This window comes from Homo sapiens, chromosome 2, assembly GCF_000001405.40.
Source record: "Homo sapiens chromosome 2, GRCh38.p14 Primary Assembly".
Taxonomy (NCBI): Eukaryota; Metazoa; Chordata; class Mammalia; order Primates; family Hominidae; genus Homo; species Homo sapiens.
The window spans coordinates 218,258,739-218,273,950 of NC_000002.12; the positions used below are offsets into that span (position 1 = coordinate 218,258,739).

At 56.4% G+C, this 15,212-nt stretch overlaps 3 protein-coding genes across 10 annotated transcripts in view, besides 6 other annotated features; 2 read left to right on the forward strand and 1 right to left on the reverse strand.

Moving 5' to 3' along the window:
- Positions 1-757: 757 nt before the first annotated feature.
- On the forward strand, positions 758-5,123 carry GPBAR1 (G protein-coupled bile acid receptor 1). 5 transcript variants are annotated; one of them, XM_011510743.1, is made up of 2 exons: positions 758-1,446; positions 3,321-5,123. In XM_011510743.1, exon 2 carries the CDS (start codon positions 3,987-3,989, stop codon positions 4,977-4,979), a length of 993 nt encoding a protein of 330 aa, XP_011509045.1. In that variant the 5' UTR covers positions 758-1,446; positions 3,321-3,986; the 3' UTR covers positions 4,980-5,123. The 5 variants fall into 5 exon arrangements, with proteins under 5 accessions (XP_011509045.1, NP_001308879.1, NP_001070659.1 ...); NM_001321950.2 differs by having other exon boundaries at positions 3,942-5,123; NM_001077191.2 differs by lacking the exon at positions 758-1,446 and adding an exon at positions 2,277-2,478.
- Positions 2,724-3,529: an enhancer, noted in NCBI's record as "H3K27ac-H3K4me1 hESC enhancer chr2:219126185-219126990 (GRCh37/hg19 assembly coordinates)". NCBI's record gives its function as "activates a minimal SCP1, AML or CMV promoter by ChIP-STARR-seq in primed H9 embryonic stem cells {active_cell/tissue: H9 hESC(primed)}" and the evidence as "EXISTENCE:reporter gene assay evidence [ECO:0000049][PMID:30033119]".
- Positions 5,391-11,399, reverse strand: AAMP (angio associated migratory cell protein). Of its 2 annotated transcripts, none has more exons than NM_001087.5 (11): positions 11,228-11,399; positions 10,644-10,796; positions 8,756-8,875; positions 8,109-8,248; positions 7,705-7,849; positions 7,326-7,409; positions 7,093-7,208; positions 6,841-6,944; positions 6,633-6,723; positions 6,282-6,436; positions 5,391-5,870 (listed from the first exon to the last, which is right to left on the reverse strand). In NM_001087.5, exons 1-11 carry the CDS (start codon positions 11,346-11,348, stop codon positions 5,795-5,797), a joined length of 1,305 nt encoding a protein of 434 aa, NP_001078.2. In that variant the 5' UTR covers positions 11,349-11,399; the 3' UTR covers positions 5,391-5,794. The 2 variants fall into 2 exon arrangements, with proteins under 2 accessions (NP_001078.2, NP_001289474.1); NM_001302545.2 differs by having other exon boundaries at positions 10,644-10,799.
- Positions 5,453-5,632: an enhancer, noted in NCBI's record as "active region_17115". NCBI's record gives its function as "activates an Ori minimal core promoter by ATAC-STARR-seq in GM12878 lymphoblastoid cells {active_cell/tissue: GM12878}" and the evidence as "EXISTENCE:reporter gene assay evidence [ECO:0000049][PMID:35858748]".
- Positions 9,692-10,577: an enhancer, noted in NCBI's record as "H3K27ac-H3K4me1 hESC enhancer chr2:219133153-219134038 (GRCh37/hg19 assembly coordinates)". NCBI's record gives its function as "activates a minimal SCP1, AML or CMV promoter by ChIP-STARR-seq in naive H9 embryonic stem cells {active_cell/tissue: H9 hESC(naive)}" and the evidence as "EXISTENCE:reporter gene assay evidence [ECO:0000049][PMID:30033119]".
- Positions 11,146-11,465: an enhancer, noted in NCBI's record as "active region_17116". NCBI's record gives its function as "activates an Ori minimal core promoter by ATAC-STARR-seq in GM12878 lymphoblastoid cells {active_cell/tissue: GM12878}" and the evidence as "EXISTENCE:reporter gene assay evidence [ECO:0000049][PMID:35858748]".
- Positions 11,616-11,995: an enhancer, noted in NCBI's record as "active region_17117". NCBI's record gives its function as "activates an Ori minimal core promoter by ATAC-STARR-seq in GM12878 lymphoblastoid cells {active_cell/tissue: GM12878}" and the evidence as "EXISTENCE:reporter gene assay evidence [ECO:0000049][PMID:35858748]".
- The window catches only part of PNKD (PNKD metallo-beta-lactamase domain containing), a 76,275-nt gene continuing 72,843 nt past the window's right edge, over positions 11,781-15,212 (forward strand). For 2 of the 3 annotated variants that reach the window (NM_015488.5, XM_017003771.2), the window contains exons 1-2: positions 11,781-11,864; positions 12,643-12,811. In NM_015488.5, coding sequence (NP_056303.3) covers positions 11,798-11,864; positions 12,643-12,811 — 236 coding nt within the window. In that variant the 5' untranslated portion in view covers positions 11,781-11,797. Of the gene's footprint in view, positions 11,865-12,642; positions 12,812-13,831; positions 14,210-15,212 lie in introns of those variants that run through there. The other variant, NM_001077399.3, reaches the window with a different exon arrangement.
- Positions 12,026-12,075: an enhancer, noted in NCBI's record as "active region_17118". NCBI's record gives its function as "activates an Ori minimal core promoter by ATAC-STARR-seq in GM12878 lymphoblastoid cells {active_cell/tissue: GM12878}" and the evidence as "EXISTENCE:reporter gene assay evidence [ECO:0000049][PMID:35858748]".

Here is a 15,212-nt window from a genome sequence, read left to right on the forward strand (position 1 = left end):
ACCACACAACATGTACCACTGTGCCCAGCTAATCTTTATTTTTTGTAGAGACGGAGTCTCACCACGTTGCCCAGGCCTCAGCCTCTTAAAGTGCTAGGATTACAGGCATTGAGTGTGAAGTGTTGAACAGCGGCTCAGGGAGGCCAACCAGGGTCCAGCAAACCCCGTCCCTGCTGCCTCCATTGGTCCAGAGCTGGTACCCGCAGCCAGCATGACACTCACCCAGTCCCAGACATTGTGGGTCAACAGAGAGAAATTCAGATAGCTAAGAGAATGGAAGCGGACAAAGGAGGCACAGGAGGATTCCATGCCAGAGTCTGAATTGGTCACCCCCATTCAGGCTCTGCCTGAGGAAAGGAGAATGGGGTCCGGGCACAGTCAGCTGGATGGAGCGTCTGAAGACGGCTTGCACCAGAGCCCTCCGTGGCTGAAGGGAGAAGCTAGGGGGTGAGTCAGCCCCAGGGCTTGATGGAACAGACAGGAACTAGATGATCTAGGAAGGGAGAAATGAGGCTGAGCAGGAGACAGCCCAGGCTCCCTGGCTGCCACTACCTAATCTGTCCCCCTTCACACACATCCCACACACAGTGTTTAGACAGAGCAGCAGAGAAGAAACAGACATCCTGGATCCCACAGGGAGCAGGCTGGGGCTGGGAACAGGAGGTCTGTTTATTCCTGGAAGTCACATATCAGAAGGGTCCCACACCCACTTCTGTCCAGGCCCCAGGCTGAACTCTCCCAGAGCCTGTGACTTCTGCCCGACCAGATCCCGTGGTTCTGAGGACCGGCCCTGGAACCCTGCGTCCTTCCGACCCACCAGCTCCCTCGAGGATGGACTTGAGGCTGGATGCTTTCCTCTTCCCACTTTTTGTCCCAACAGAAGTCCCTGATCTCCAGGATCCCTGACTGGCTGTGCAGAGCTGGCACAGCCACACTCCACGGGCTTCCAGCCCTTCAGGCCCAGCTCTCCCGGAGAGCACCAGAGTCCCTTTGCTCCATTTACTTGCGCTCTTCAGCCAGCAAGTGTTTCCTAATGTCTCACCCCCAGTCCCAGCTTTCCTGCTGCAATTTCCGCCTGTTCCCTCCCATTTCAGGCCTTAAGGGAGTGTGGCTGGGCTTCTCTCCTCCCCCTCACTCCAAAGCCGCACTTGATACAAGGTGGAAATCAAAGCACCACTTCTGGCTTCCCAGCCTTGAACTTGCCCTTCCCTCTCAATGTATCTGGTTTCCTCAGCTTCCCTGTGCAGCAAGAGTGTCACTCCCCTCTTGCTTTTCCCAAGCTCCCCATGCGCCCCTCTCAGCAGATCTGTCTTAGAGGGGCCAGGTGCAGAGAAAGGCAGAAATCCTAATAATGTTCCCAGCGATCGCTGCCTGTCGCGGAGTGCTGAAGGGCCAAGTGTTGATCTGAGTCCTCATCACACGGGACTTCATTTAGTCTCACGATAGGTGAGTACAACTATGGGCCCCATTTGACAGATGAGGAAACTAAGGCAAGGGAACTTTAGTCATTTGCCCAAGTTCACTGGCTTTTTTAAAAAAGGATCCAGACAGCTCTGATTCCAGCGCCAGCTCATGCCTCTTCATCATGGGGGAGGAAAGAGAGGGAGCCATTTGTTGGGGCAAACCCCCACCCATCAAGGGCCATGCACTGGGGTATATGCCGCCATATGTGTTATCCTGTGATATTCCCCACCACGACCTTAATTAGAGGTGGTTTTTCTTGTTCCCATTTTAACACAGGCAAAAACCGAGGCCCAGTAGTACCTTACCCATGGTCACATCCCCAGAGCCATTTGTCCCTCATAGTTCAGAACTTGACTCAGAAAGCAGTTGAGAAAAGTGTGGAATGACCCCAGATTCAGGAAGGCAAGTCTGGCCTTAGAAACTGAAAGGCCCATCAGGTGATGGGATGGGGGAGTGAAGATCCTCAGGCCCCAAACACCTGCCACTGCCACCATCACACACGGAAGTGTGGAGGGAGCCTGGTGTGCTGTCAGCTGGCTGGCCAGTCCAGGGGCTTAAATGTAAATGCATCAGCTGAGGCGGGAAGTCGGGAGGGGTAAGTCAATCATTATTATTCATTAACTGGAATGCATTTCTCAGATTACTCCGAGCTGGAGTAGGGAAACTGCCACCTAGGTGGCAGGGGGAGAGGGGAACTGGGTGGGAGGGGGAGGCAGGCCTCCCAGTTGCTGCAGTTTGGAATATGTCAGGTCCCACCCTCCCAGAGGCGGGGCCAGGGCTGAGTCCTGCCAGCCTCATTTCTCTATCCCTCTGAGAACCCAGACGGGCAGAGCCTGGGTAGGAGAGCCTGGCCCCGCTGTCCCCACTGGGTGGAGACACCATGCACTTGGTCCACTTGTGCTCTTCAGCCAGGACACCAGACATGGTCCAAACCGCTGCAGGGCTGGCTGCAGCAACTCCCTGACACTCAGGAAGGCCCAGGCTGGGCAGGCAATACCTGCTCCCAACAGCCATGTGAGTAGCTACTCCCCCAAACCCCCAAACCCCAGATCCTGGAGAGGCTACTACACCCAGCCCAAGCCACCAGACCCTCGGGGGTGTGCAGGTGGTACAGCCTGCACCCTGCTGGGAAATCACCCCTGGGGGCTGCTCCCTGCCTTTGTCGCTGTTCTAGTGGAGGTGGGTTGGGGGGAATCATTCCGATTAGGGCTGGGAGCTCCAGCTCAGGCCAGGTTTGGGGTAATGGACCCTGAGTCTCACGGGACTTAAGAGAGTTGATGATGCCCTGGGAAAGGGAACAGAAACTGCAAGGCCTCTAGAGAGGAAAAGACATCCTGGGTGGAGGGCACTGGAAGAGATTGAGAAAGAGAAAACATGCTTAGGGGAGGGGAAAGGGGGCATAAGGCCTTGGAGGCCCAGGCTCAGGGTGCTGGGGGAACCTGGGAAGGAAGGGGAGCATCTTCCTTCCTCTCAGCTCAGGGCAGCCATGGGGCCCTGATCCCCTGTCCTGGAGGAGGGGAGAGGTATGAATCCTTTCCTTATTGACTTGGATCCTAGCAACAGCAGCTGCTCCCCTGTTGACAGAAGCAGGAGTTCCCACAGGACCCAGGACCCCTCCCCCTGTCCCCAGGATGTGGCAGCAGAGCCATGACACTGGAGGACTGAGACCAGGGAATGACGGGAAGGACAGGGACAGATGAGAGCCACAGAGAAGCCAGACTCTGCCCAGACTCCTCTTCCCTCTCCTCTGGGCTCAGCCTCAGGCCTGGGGGTGTGGGGGAGTCCCTCTCCTTGCTGCTGGCATCTCCACGTTCACTGCCACACGTGCCCTCCAGCTGCTTCTCTCCTCCCTCCAGCTCCCAGGAAGGACCCTGTTGCTAGTGTGGAGCAAAGACGAGTCAAGTTTATGGGCTGGAAGTCCTACCCGGAGGCTGCTCACTGAGCTGTGATGGCTACAAGGACAGATGGGGGGAAGGGTGCAGGGTGCCCGAGACCTGGCCCGCTGGAGCCTGTCACCTAATGGCTGGCTGGAAGACCACTACACACCAGCCAGCCCTGGTCCATTCTCTCATTTAGAGGCCTCCCCGGTGGAGGCAGGGATACACAAAATGCTTTGGGGCTGGATGGGCCCGCCTTTCAGTCTAAACAAGAGACCTCAACACAGCTGCCCAGAAAAGGCAGATACCAGAAATGGATAAAGCTGGCTGGGTGGGGACTGTCCGAAGGGCAGCCAGCAGTGAGCTCCGGCTGGTTGCTACCACACAGGACATATGTGTTGCCAGACCTGAATTTTCAATAGAAACCAAAGATAGTTTTTTATATAAATGTTTAATTGGCAATTAATTGAAAAATTCTGTGTATCAGCGAACATGATACAGCCCACAGCCTGCGGGTCTGCGCCCCTGGATTAACATGCTGCCCTGCCAGGAGGACACGACCTGCAGCCCCATCCTAACTCTGGCCACCCCATCCTGCAGGCATGCCGGCTGCCGCTCCAGGACTCCCCTGTCCCCAGGACCAAGATGACGCCCAACAGCACTGGCGAGGTGCCCAGCCCCATTCCCAAGGGGGCTTTGGGGCTCTCCCTGGCCCTGGCAAGCCTCATCATCACCGCGAACCTGCTCCTAGCCCTGGGCATCGCCTGGGACCGCCGCCTGCGCAGCCCACCTGCTGGCTGCTTCTTCCTGAGCCTACTGCTGGCTGGGCTGCTCACGGGTCTGGCATTGCCCACATTGCCAGGGCTGTGGAACCAGAGTCGCCGGGGTTACTGGTCCTGCCTCCTCGTCTACTTGGCTCCCAACTTCTCCTTCCTCTCCCTGCTTGCCAACCTCTTGCTGGTGCACGGGGAGCGCTACATGGCAGTCCTGAGGCCACTCCAGCCCCCTGGGAGCATTCGGCTGGCCCTGCTCCTCACCTGGGCTGGTCCCCTGCTCTTTGCCAGTCTGCCCGCTCTGGGGTGGAACCACTGGACCCCTGGTGCCAACTGCAGCTCCCAGGCTATCTTCCCAGCCCCCTACCTGTACCTCGAAGTCTATGGGCTCCTGCTGCCCGCCGTGGGTGCTGCTGCCTTCCTCTCTGTCCGCGTGCTGGCCACTGCCCACCGCCAGCTGCAGGACATCTGCCGGCTGGAGCGGGCAGTGTGCCGCGATGAGCCCTCCGCCCTGGCCCGGGCCCTTACCTGGAGGCAGGCAAGGGCACAGGCTGGAGCCATGCTGCTCTTCGGGCTGTGCTGGGGGCCCTACGTGGCCACACTGCTCCTCTCAGTCCTGGCCTATGAGCAGCGCCCGCCACTGGGGCCTGGGACACTGTTGTCCCTCCTCTCCCTAGGAAGTGCCAGTGCAGCGGCAGTGCCCGTAGCCATGGGGCTGGGCGATCAGCGCTACACAGCCCCCTGGAGGGCAGCCGCCCAAAGGTGCCTGCAGGGGCTGTGGGGAAGAGCCTCCCGGGACAGTCCCGGCCCCAGCATTGCCTACCACCCAAGCAGCCAAAGCAGTGTCGACCTGGACTTGAACTAAAGGAAGGGCCTCTGCTGACTCCTACCAGAGCATCCGTCCAGCTCAGCCATCCAGCCTGTCTCTACCGGGCCCCACTTCTCTGGATCAGAGACCCTGCCTCTGTTTGACCCCGCACTGACTGAATAAAGCTCCTCTGGCCGTTTATGATTATCTCATTCCATATCTCAGGGCGAGGCAGGAGGAAATGGCTCAACACACCAACAATAGAAAGAACCTACAGACATACGCGTGGATTAAGGCAGAGTCCGACTCCAGGCAGGCAAGAAGTGTCGTGCGCACAGACCACCCCTGGAGATGGGGAGCTGGCACATCTCAACATCCAGCCGATTCTGCGGGACAGCCTTGCCCTGACGGGGCCCTCGCTAGCTCCTCCTAGGGTCCAGCCATCACAAAATCCACACAGACTCTGTCTCTGGGAAGTATATTTTATTTACATTTTTAAAATCTTTAACTAGTATCTCTTCCTCCTTTCCACCCCCAGAGACTTGGGAAGGGAAAGAACGGGAACCTCAAACACCTACTCCCCACATACAAATACACACCCCATGGCTCACACCAGCAAATGAAAGTGAAAGAGAAACAGGTCCACCCCTCCCTCTGAAGGGCCCACCAGGTCTGGACAAGGGTGGGAGGGCCCTGGGCTGGGTCTCTAAAGAGAAGAAAAGGAGAGGGGAGCAAGTCAGTTGAAGAGGCTGGAAAGTCATCCAGGGCCCCACCCTCCTCTTCCCTCTGTGCCCTACTGCCTCTGCTGGCAGACAGGGGCAGGGGTCCCTTCGTCCCCTCAACACCAGACACACAGGCAGGGGCTGCAGCCATTAACGGTCAGGCCTTTGGACACAAAATACTTTCGCTTTGTGGTCTCCTGACGTGGTCACCACCAGGGAGGCATCTCTGTAAACAGAAAGCATGTGATTGCAGAGACTGGGGGACCCAAGCCCACCACCTAGGGGCCCTAGGGTGGGCTCCTCCAGCACACCCTCAGTTCTAGGGCCCTAGTGCCTAGCACTGGGCCGACATCTCTGCAGCCAGCATGGAGGGGATTAGAGGAAGCCCCCAGCACGGGAGAAGCAGAGCTGACTCCGATGGGGAAAATCAGTCTCAGCCTCTCCCTCATGACTGAGACGTGGGGCCCCGGAGGGTCACTGTCAGCCACTGGAATGGGGGCTGGGCTGTGAACCCTCAGGCTTCTCTGCATTCCTGCCTTAGGAATCCCTTCCCACACCCCAAGGATCCTGTGTCCCCTACATACTACTGCCACCTTCCAAATACACAAAGATCCCAGCCCTTGGCCAATTCACTTACTTGCTGAGGGCAAAGTCCAGGATCTCAGCCGTGTGGCCCCGGTAGTCAGTAAGCAGGCGGCCGGTCCGGGCGTCCCAGAGGCGCACGATGCCATCCAGGCTGCAGGTATATACCACGGCAGTGCCTGCCTCCCACAGCAGCTGCACGATGCCCGACTGCCCCGAGGAATGACAGAGGCAGGGCGGAGGTTGGCAGGAGAGCTGAGAGCCATCTGCTCCCAATTCTCAAAGAGGGACAGCCACACACAAGGGCCAGGCAGGAGCCAGATCTGGGGTAGATGCTCCTGGAGGCCTGGGCTTCCCCACCACTATGGACACAGCCCACAGGGACCCCAGCTCCAGCTGCCCATACCTGGTGCTGACACTGATGCCTAAGAGTCTGCGTAGCCAGGTCATAGATGGCCAAGGTCCCATCCAGGTAGCCAACAGCTGCCAGGGGCATCCTGGCCAGAGGAGCGTACCATGAAGACTCATGAGGGCCTGGACTCACACGCCCTGCCGTCCTCCCGGGCCCCCAGCCCAGGCCCCTCCCACAAACCCCTTTCCCCATCCTCACTCACACACTGCAGAAGCCCAAGGACTCCACCGAGTTGGACTCACTCTCCTCCCCTTCTCCCAGGCTGGGCTGGGAGGCCACAGTCTCAGGTCTAAAAACACCCACCACCTGAAAGCCAGAGAGGATCAGAGGAGGACACGGAATCCGGGTGCTTGATGGAGAGAAAGACGGTGGGGAGAGGAGACAGTGAAGACCCAGGAAGGAAGGAGAGGAGTCGGGAAAGCGGAGGCCCCAGCCGGGCTCCAGGTCCACTCACCTTGCCGGTGGTGGCACTGACCAGCTTGGCCTGGCAGTCCACAGAGCCAGTTAGGATCAAGCTGCCATCCTGGTTGGCAGCAACACAGGTGAGTGGGCCCTGGTGACCCTCAGTCCCTAGCATAGAGCAGGGAGGCAGCTCAGGCTTCGTCCTACCTCCCCTCTGAGTCCTGCCCCAGGTTCTCAGCCCCTCCCTACAAAGGCCCAGGCTAACACTTCCCCCACCTCTGATACCTTTCAGTACATGGATAGGGCTTCCCTGCTTCAGGTCCCAAATCCTGATGGTCCCATCTTCATAGCCTACCACAGCTCTCTTCCCTGAAGAGAGGCACAGATGAAGAGAGGGCAGAGGGCACGCTCACATACACTAAGCAAGGGAATGGGGAGAGGGAGAGGAAAGAAGAGTGGAAGGGCCCAGACACTGCCCCAGGAATCACAGGTGAGTTCAGAGCAGGAAGGAGGCGCTGTGAACTTTGGGGCCCAGGAGGTCAGCACTGCAAACAGCAGGCCTCAGATTTTGCCGGCTGTGACCCAGAAGGCTGCTCTGGGAGGTGTATATCCCGGGATTCGGCCTCTGCACCCAGGAAAGGTCACTCAAGGGAGGTGCTCTCACCATCAGGGAGGACTCGGCCACAGGTGGCTGGGCAGTTGGGACCCTGGAAGGTCTTGCAGTCACCATTCGGGACTTTCCACATCCAGGTGTTGCCGTCAGCTGTGCCCGCCAACAGGACAGGTGCCCGAGGATGCCACTCCATCCACTGGACAGGGAGGAAGGGGCAGCAGGGAGGCCCGTCACCCCATCCCACCTAGAAGCCTGCCCCATGAGCTCCACCCAAGGTTTCCTGCCTCTGGGGTTCCGCGGGGACTTTCCAGGTAGCAGGTAGATATTCTTCCTGTGCCTTGGGGCGCATTGGCTCAGAGCTGGCTTGGCGCAATAAAGGCAGAACTGGCCTCCCAAGCTTGCACCCCCAACAACCCAAGGCCCCACAGAGCTGACTCCCGCTCTGATGATCTTACCTCCAGGTCTCCCGCTTCAAAGGACCAGACCTCCTCCTTAGTGTCCACCTGCCACACTTTCAAGAGGCCACTCATGTCCCCTGTGGCCACTAGAGTGGAGTCATGGCTGAAACCAGCACAAGTCACAGAGTCTTTATGGCCTTCAAAGAAAAGTGGGCAGAAAACAGAGGAAAAAAATAGGGTACCTGGTGCTGGGGGCATGTGATTCTGGTATCTGGCCCACTGAAAGGACCAGCTAGGAAAAAAAGAGGGGCGGGACTGAGCAGAACAGGTGCTGGAACTCACCACCACTCTAGGAACCAATACTCCCATGTCTGCTGGGAGACACTGCTGGCCCTCACTCAACCAGACCAAGTCCCAGCCTCCTATGCCTTCCCCCTTCTGTCCACTCTACACCTCTGCCCGCCTGCTCCTATACCAATGTGGCCTTCTCTGGCCTTTCCTGGATTCCCTTGGCCAATTAGTGCCTCCTGCCTCTGTGCCCAAAACACACTAGTATTCGCCCCGTGTCCCTGGGGCCCAGCACAGAGCTGGCACAAAAGAGATGTCACTAAGTGGCTGTTGGATGCACAACCTCTGCAGGTCAGCCTCCTAAGATCTCCCAAAAGAATATGACCTCTCCCAGGCCTCTACCCCAGCCCCCTCACCTGCACACTCAAAGAGCAGCTCCCCATCGCTGAGCCGCCATACGAAGGCTTTGTCATCTTCACCCCCGGTCACTGCCAAGGTATTGGTCTTGGGGTCCAGGCTCACACAAAACACAGATGCTGTCCCAAGAGATATTCCATGGGTAAGGGGACAGAGCTCCCACCTAGGGCTCTGTCCTTCACAATCTTCAGGAAACCCACCCCCTTTCACCCAAAGCGTGTCTTTCCTCCTGGAAAACACAGGTACATCCAAGTTCTTCTAAGTTTCAAGAATTGGGTTGTTAGATCCTTCCCATATTTGCCAAGCTCCCTATTTGCCAGAGTAGATCCCCTCACTGTGTGACTCCCGTCACCACCCAACACCAATGCCATGGACAAGAGGTGGGGACAGGTGCAGGGCTTACAGTTGTCAGCATGGGATGCCACCGGGGTTGGGTACAGAGCGAGGAGAGCATCACGTTAAGGGTTTTTTGTTTTTTGTTTTTTGTTTTTTGAGACAGAGTCTTGCTCTGTCGCCCAGGCTGGAGTGCAGTGGCACAATCTCAGCTCACTGCAACCTCCACCTCCCAGGTTCAAGCAATTCTCCTGCCTCAGCCCCCTGAGTAGCTGGGATTACAGGCGCCCGCCACCACAACCAGCTAATTTTTGTATTTTTAGTAGAGATGGGGTTTCATCATGTTGGTCAGGCTGGTCTCGAACTCCTAACCTTCTGATCCACCCGCCTCGGCCTCCCAAAGTGCTGGGATTACAGGCATGAGCCACCGTGCCTGGCAACAGTTTCTTACTAAGAACTAGCACTTGAGAAAGTTATATAAAATATGCTCAAAAAGATATAATTATCTCTCATTTTATTTTATTTTTTTGAGATGGAATCTTGCTCTGTCGCCCAGGCCGAAGCGCAGTGGCACAATCTCAGCTCAATGCAACCTCTGCCTCCCAGGTTCAAGTGATTCTCCTTCCTCAGCCTCCGGAGTAGCTGGGATTACAGGCACATGCCACCACACCCAGCTAATTTTTTTTTTATTTTTAGTAGAGATGAGGTTTCACCATGTCGGCCAGGCTGGTCTTGAACTCCCGACCTCAGGTGATCCACCCGCCTTGGCCTTCCAAAGTGCTGTGATTACAGGCATGAGCCACCGCACCTGGCCAATTATCTCTAATTTTATACTCACTACTTTTATTAACTTTTATCAAAGATAACTTTTTTTTTTTTTTTTTTTTTGGAGACAGACTCTCATTCTGTTGCCCAGGCTGGAGTGCAATGGCGCAGTCTTGGTCCACTGCAACCTCCGCCTCCCGGGTTCAAGCAATTCTCCTGCCTCAACCTCCCGAGGAGCTGGGACTACAGGCGCCCGCTACCACGCCCAGCTAATTTTTGTATTTTTAGTAGAGACGGGGTTTCACCATATTGGCCAGGCTGGTCTGGAACTCCCGACCTTGTGATCCGCCTGCCTGGGCCTCCTAAAGTGCTGGGATTACAGGCGTGAGCCACCATGCCCAGCCAAATTTTTGTATTTTTAGTAGAGACTGGGTTTTGCCATGTTGGCCAGGCTGGTCTCGAACTCCTGACCTCAAGTGATCCACCTGCCTCAGCCTCCTAAAGTGCTGGGATTTCAGGAGTGAGCCACCACGCCCGGCCAAAGATAACTTTTTAAAAGAAAACTAAGAGGTTAATCAAGGTTAACTGGCAAAGTAGAGGGTGTCTCGACTGATGCCAGAAGCCAAGCAATCATCCATTCTGCCACACTTTCCCACCTGTGGGCTCCTCCAGCGCAAGGCCAGCATCTTGCCCATCTCTGTGTCCCCCATAACGTTCTGTCCATGGCTGATGTTTAATGCTTACACGCCCACCTAAACTGATTTGAGGTGGATCGCCTCAAAGACCTACCTGAGTGCAATGCAAAGGTGACCTCGCTATCGTCGGGGCCCTCCATGCTGCCGACCACCCCTTCCTGGGGTTCTAGAACCCAGCCCTCTTCGTTGCCCTCTTCCTCCTCTTCTTCCTCAAAGTCCACATCTTCCATCTCCTGGGCCAGGTCATCTGCTTTGGGGAGAGGGTTAGAAGATGGGGCTCGGGAGGCGGTAAGAGGTACGGAGAGAAGCATGAGGAGGCCTGAGGCTGGGGCGGGTCATGTGGCGAGAAGGGAAGGTGGAGTCAGACACACCGGGGTCCGCGGGGGCGCGCGGGACACAGGACGGGAGGCCACGGCTGGCCAGAGACCGTGCGGTAAGGGAGGGCCAAGGGGATGATGGGAAGGGGGTGTGTGAGGGGAAGGGCCAGAGGAGGCGTCAGGGAACCCCCACCCCAGCCAGGCCTGAGAACTAAGTGTGAGGGTGGGAGTGGGGGAGGAGGGGAAGAGGGATATCGGTAGGAATGACCAGTCGGGTGTGGAGGGGAGCGGGGAAAAGCAGGAGTCAGAGGCCAGGGGTGAGCGTCTCCTGTCCCATGGCCTGAGGAGCGGCAGTTCTCACCTGGGTCCGGCGGACCGGGATCAAGTTCTACCACCTCGATAATCTCTTCATCACCATGGAAGCTTAGGGTCTCCAGTGGGGGGGTGTCAGCAGCAGCCCCGCTTTCCGATTCGGACTCCATGCGGCGCAAGCGGCGGATCCACTTCTCTGGGCCCAAACGCCTCCCAGAGTCAGCTCTGCGCGACGACGCGGAACTCGAGCCCCTCCTCCCGGCAGGAAGTAGGCGTAGGCGACTCCCCAGCAGGAAGAGCGACGGCCGTTCGGCCAATAGCTACGAAGGTTGGCTGGCCGCCTCACCAATCACAGAGCGGCATTGGAAGATGGGGCCGGGGCGTGGCGGAGAGAACCCAAACTCCGCCCCACCTGACTCCGCCCCCAACTGGAGGGAAACAAGCGAGCGCGCGCGCCTCCGGGGTCTCCTGGGAAGAGTAGTTCTCCTGGGTCCGCTCTGCGGGCTTCTGGGAGATGTAGTTTCTGGTCTGTAGGCAGGACGGAAGGAGCGGGGGAGGCCCCTTACGCAAACTACAATTCCCGGCGGGGAGCGCGGTGAAGCGGGGGTGGGATCTGAACATGGCGGCGGTGGTAGCTGCTACGGCGCTGAAGGGCCGGGGGGCGAGAAATGCCCGCGTCCTCCGGGGTAAGGAGAGGGACCCCGGGGAGGGCAGGACTGCAGAAGATCCCTTTTCTTTCACGTCCAGCCCGACGATAGCAGGAGGTCAGGGCTCTTGGTTCCTCCCCACACTTTTCTGCAAGATCTTAGAGTCTGGGGGTGCAGAGATGCTCTTTAGAGGTCACCCAGTGCATCCCCCCGCCTTCGGGTTGCTCGACACCTCCGGGGTCTTGCTGCAAGAGGGAGCTCCTAGGAAGCCTGTTGGACTCCCGCGCTCCAGGTGTTTCACACTCACCGCAGTGCAGAGGAAAGAGCCCCGGGCTTCTGGAGGTTTGAGTTCCAGCCCCGGATAATTAGCAGTTTGACCTTGGGCAAAGCAGTTTTTCTCTCAGGGCTTCAGTTTCCTCTTCCGTACAGTGCAAGGGATGGAGTAGACTATCTTTAAGGTCCCTTCCAGTGCTAACATTTGCAGTTTCAAAACCTTTTCCCGGATTTCCTTCATACGTCTTATGTGAGTCCCACTGCAGTCCTTCCCATGCTGTCGTCTGAGGAAGAACAGCGAAGCTTTTCGTCCTGGCACCAGGGTGATGAGCCCGCAGTGACGTGGAAGTGGCTTCCAAAGGTGCCACCTCGGTGGCGATTTTCCCATTTCCCTTTGGATTCTCCTTGGCACTTCTTACTTCAGACTGCAGTCACTCCCCTTCCCCAGATCTCAGCCGCTCCTCCCAAGCCCTTACTGCCCCCCACCTCCCCGCTTGCTTTCTTCTCATCTCTTCTTACTGACCTTCCTTACCTCCATCCACAGGGATTCTCGCAGGAGCCACAGCTAACAAGGCTTCTCATAACAGGACCCGGGCCCTGCAAAGCCACAGCTCCCCAGAGGGCAAGGAGGAACCTGAACCCCTATCCCCGGAGCTGGAATACATTCCCAGAAAGAGGGGCAAGAACCCCATGAAAGCTGTGGGACTGGCCTGGTGAGTTTTAACCACCCCTTTGCCCACCAACGGGGCGTGGCTTGTAGGGGAGGGCAGGACTTAGAAACTTCTCCAAGTTTCAGGTGGCGAGCTGAATCCAAAGTTGTGGGAACAGAATTGTTGGGTTCGATTGGAATCTCAGAGGGGTGGGGCAGTGGAGGTGGGAAAGTATGTGGAATTGAGAAGACAGTGGGTTTACTGTGGAGTAAGCTGAGTTGATCTGATTCAGACTTGGGTCCCTGGCCTCATCCTCCCTTTTGGGAGCTTGGAGTGAGACCCAAGTTTAAGTAAGTAGTTCGTTGAGATCATGTGAGCTTGTACTAGTTGTATAGTAGTACTCAGAAGGCGTTATGAACATTGTGATTGGGCTCTGACTCTGACCTTAATACATATTATTGACCAATATTAAAGAGAAAGGAGGAAGAAATCAACATTTTTTTCTGCATGTGAGGTGTGCCAGTACTTTGCCATGTAATGTTTTAGTGTTTGAGATAAGTATTACATCCCCATTTCACAGAGGAAGGAACTGAGACTGAGCTAGGATTCTCACCTAGTCTGTGACTCCATGCTCTTTCCCCCATACCAAAGTGCCTCCCAAGCAGTGGTTACTTAGCTTAAGAGGGGAAAACTGGGAGGGTACCTTGGCCAAGTCTCAGAGAGGGAAAGCGTCAGGGCTGCCTGGAAAATCCTGCACAGGTGCTGTTGCAGGAATGCAGGGCTCGTGCTGAGGATCAGGCTCTAGGCGGGAGGAGGAAAGAGGCAGGCAGAGACCCAGCCACACTGGGCCTTTTGTGCCATGTTTGGACTTGGCCAGGAAGTGATGGAGTTACGGGGTTTTAAGCAGGGAAGTGACAGGATCTGATTTGTGTGGGTCCCTCCAGCAGCCAGCACAGAGGATGAATAGACTATAAGAGGTATTGCAGCATTCATGCAACTGATGAAGCTAGAATGACTCCCCCCAGCTCCTCTGGCTCAGGCTTGGCCCCTCCCCAAACCCCGTGCACATCTCCCCACCCGTAGGGCCATCGGCTTCCCTTGTGGTATCCTCCTCTTCATCCTCACCAAGCGGGAAGTGGACAAGGACCGTGTGAAGCAGATGAAGGCTCGGCAGAACATGCGGTTGTCCAACACGGGCGAGTATGAGAGCCAGAGGTTCAGGGCTTCCTCCCAGAGTGCCCCGTCCCCTGATGTTGGGTCTGGGGTGCAGACCTGAGGAGCGCTGCGACCCTCCTAGGCTATTGACTGTTAAGTCCTCAGGTTTGGCCCAGATTCCAGTTCGTGCCTCTGAGGTCCACCAGAGGGCGCATGAAGCCCAGGCTGTTGCCAAACCCTACCCTGCCCCACACCAAGGAGCCAGCCAAAGGCAAATAAAGTTATTGAGTGTTTAGTAGAAAGGAACCAGGTCTGGGTTTGTGAGTCCCTTGGGATGGGAGGGGCAGAGGGTGGGGCTGGTTACTCATGTGTGCTCCCTCTCACAGAGCTCAGTGTTCCCAGCTGGATGGTGGGGCAAACCCAGAGACTTAAGTGCAACCAGCCTAGGCCCCGGGCCCTCGGGACCAAGCCCTCAGAGCTGCCGGCCAGGAGGGTGGGGTCCCGCTCAGCCTTGAAACAATAAAGAGAATCAAAGAAGGTATTCAGGGTGTGGAGGCAAAAAAAAGCACTGCTCTTTACTGAGTCCAAATGACTCGACTCTGGGCCTCAGTTTCCTCATTTGTTTTGTTTTTTGTTTTTTGTTTTTTGAGACGGAGTCTCGCTCTGTTACCCAGGCTGGAGTGCAGTGTTGTGATCGTCAGCTCACTGCAACCTCCACCTCCTGGGCTCAAGTGATCCTCCTACCTCAGCCTCCTGAGTAGCTGGGACCCCAGGTGAGTGCCACCATGCCCAGTTACTTTTTGTGTTTTTTTTTTTTTTTTGGATTTTTTTTTACTTATTTTTTTTTTTTTTTTTTGAGACAGAGTTTCACTCTTGTTGCCCAGGCTGGAGTACAATGGCATGATCTCAGCTCACTGCAACCTCCACCTTCTGGGTTCAAGTGATTCTCCTGCTTCAGCCTCCAGAGTAGCTGGGATTACAGGCACTCACCGCCACTCCCAGTTAATTTTTTTTTTTTTTTGTACTTTTAGTAGAGATGGGGTTTCACCATGTTTGGTCTGGCTGGTCTCAAACTCCTGACCTCAGGTGATTCCCCCCCACCGCCCTCGGCCTCCCAAAGTGCTGGAGTTACAGGTGTGAGCCACCGCACCAGGCCCAGTTTCCTCATTTTGTAAGATGGGACTGGAGTTGACATGGACTGAACCTGCAGTCCATCCCCTCCTCCATCTGCAAAACTGTAGGTATACATACAGCTCTTTGAGGAAGAGAGTTAGCTCTCATGAGCTTTTGGAAAGGGTCCATGGTGCAG